The 2,478-nt window shown below is 44.1% G+C and overlaps 1 annotated feature.

Moving 5' to 3' along the window:
* Window positions 1,416-1,991: an enhancer, noted in NCBI's record as "H3K27ac-H3K4me1 hESC enhancer chrX:108356812-108357387 (GRCh37/hg19 assembly coordinates)". NCBI's record gives its function as "activates a minimal SCP1, AML or CMV promoter by ChIP-STARR-seq in primed H9 embryonic stem cells {active_cell/tissue: H9 hESC(primed)}" and the evidence as "EXISTENCE:reporter gene assay evidence [ECO:0000049][PMID:30033119]".

A 2,478-nucleotide genomic window follows, 5' to 3' on the forward strand; every position in this document is an offset into this window, starting at 1 on the left:
CTTTCGTTGCCATTGCTTTTTATGTTTTAGACATGAATTCCTTGCCCATGCCTATGTCCTGAATGGTATTGCCTAGGTTTTCTTCTAGGGTTTTTATGGTTTTATGTCTAACATTTAAGTCTTTAATCCATCTTGAATTAATTTTTGTATAAGGCGTAAGGAAGGGATCCAGTTTCAGGTTTCTACATATGGCTAGCCAGTTTTCCCAGCACCATTTATTAAATAGGGAATCCTTTCCCCATTTCTTGTTTTTGTCAGATTTGTCAAAGATCAGATGGTTGTAGATGTGTGGCATTATTTCTGAGCACTCTGTTCTGTTCCATTGGTCTATATCTCTGTTTTGGTACCAGTACCATGCTGCATTGGTTACTGTAGCCTTGTAGTCAGTTTGAAGTCAGGTAGTGTAGTGCCTCCAGCTTTGTTCTTTTGGCTTAGGATTGTCTTGGCAATGTGGGCTCTTTTTTGGTTCCACATGAATTTTAAAGTAGTTTTTTTCCAATTCTGTGAAGAAAGTCATTGGTAGCTTGATGGGGATCGCATTGAATCTATAAGTTACCTTGGGCAGTATGGCCATTTTCATGATATTGATTCTTCCTATCCATGAGCATAGAATGTTCTTCCATTTGTTTGTGTCCTCTTTTATTTCATTGAGCAGTGGTTTGTAGTTATCCTTGAAGAAGTCCTTCACATCCCTTGTAAGTTGGATTCCTAGGTATTTTATTCTCTTTGAAGCAATTGTGAATGGGAGTTCACTCATGATTTGGCTCTCTGTTTGTCTGTTAGTGAAAACTGCCTCATGGACTCCTTTGCTTTTGTATTTCTTGAGTCTAAGTTTAAAACTACTGTGAAGTTATCTTGGAAAAAAGACTCTTACTACCCTAGTTTTAGGTTGTAGATTTCCCTCCTCTATTTGTCCCATTAATCAGATCCCATGTGCTTTCTCTCTTTAATGATTTCCTCAAACTTTCTGGGTTACTGCTGAATTCCTTTCTTGTTTCTAGCACTGTTATGGTTTAATACTATTGAAAATATGTTTCCTTTCATTTCAATGAAACTATGGAAAGGAGAAGCAGTAAATACAAGTGCTCAGTCCACTATCTTTCATGGGAACACCTTTCTCAGCTGAATATAAGAAATTTGTGGAGAGGAGTCAAGATGGCCAAATAGGAACAGCTCTGGTCTACAGCTCCCAGCGTGAGCGATGCAGAAGACGGGTGATTTCTGCATTTCCATCTGAGGTACTGGGTTCATCTCACTAGGGAGTGCCAGACAGTGGGCGCAGGCCAGTGGGTGCACGCACTGTGCGCAAGCTGAAGCAGGGCGAGGCATTGCCTCACTTGGGAAGCGCAAGGGGTCAGGGAGTTCCCTTTCTGAGTCAAAGAAAGGGGTGAAGGACGCACCTGGAAAATCGGGTCACTCCCACCCAAATATTGAGCTTTTCAGAACGGCTTAAAAAACGGTGCACCATGAGACTATATCCCACACCTGGCTCGGAGGGTCCTATGCCCACGGAATCTCACTGATTGCTAGCACAGCAGTCTGAGATCAAACTGCAAGGCAGCAGTGAGGCTGGGGGAGGGGCACCCGCCATTGCCCAGGCTTGCTTAGGTAAACAAAGCAGCCAGGAAGCTGGAACTGGGTGGAGCCCACCACAGCTCAAGGAGGCCTGCCTGCCTCTGTAGGCTCCACCTCTGGGGGCAGGGCACAGACAAACAAAAAGACAGCAGTAACCTCTGCAGACTTAAATGTCCCTGTCTGACAGCTTTGAAGAGAGCAGTGGTTCTCCCAGCACACAGCTGGAGATCTGAGAACGGGCAGACTGCCTCCTCAAGTGGGTCCATGACTCCTGACCCCCGAGCAGCCTAACTGGGAGGTACTCCCCAGCAGGGGCACACTGACACCTCACACGGCAGGGTATTCCAACAGACCTGCAGCTGAGGGTCCTGTCTGTTAGAAGGAAAACTAACAAACAGAAAGGACATCCACACCAAAAACCCATCTGTACATCACCATCATCAAAGACCAAAAGTAGATAAAACCACAAAGATGGGGAAAAAACAGAACAGAAAAACTGGAAACTCTAAAACGCAGAGCGCCTCTCCTCTGCCAAAGGAATGTAGTTCCTCACCAGCAACGGAACAAAGCTGGATGGAGAATGACTTTGACGAGCTGAGAGAAGAAGGCTTCAGATGATCAAATTACTCTGAGCTACGGGAGGACATTCAAACCAAAGGCAAAGAAGTTGAACACTTTGAAAAAAATTTAGAAGAATGTATAACTAGAATAACCAATACAGAGAAGTGCTTAAAGGAGCTGATGGAGCTGAAAACCAAGGCTCGAGAACTACATGAGGAATGCAGAAGCCTCAGGAGCCGATGCGATCAACTGGAAGAAAGGGTATCAGCAATGGAAGATGAAATGAATGAAATGAAGCGAGAAGGGAAATTTAGAGAAAAAAGAATAAAAAGAAATGAGCAA

The sequence above is a fragment of the Homo sapiens genome, chromosome X, assembly GCF_000001405.40.
Source record: "Homo sapiens chromosome X, GRCh38.p14 Primary Assembly".
In the NCBI taxonomy this organism is placed as follows: domain Eukaryota; kingdom Metazoa; phylum Chordata; class Mammalia; order Primates; family Hominidae; genus Homo; species Homo sapiens.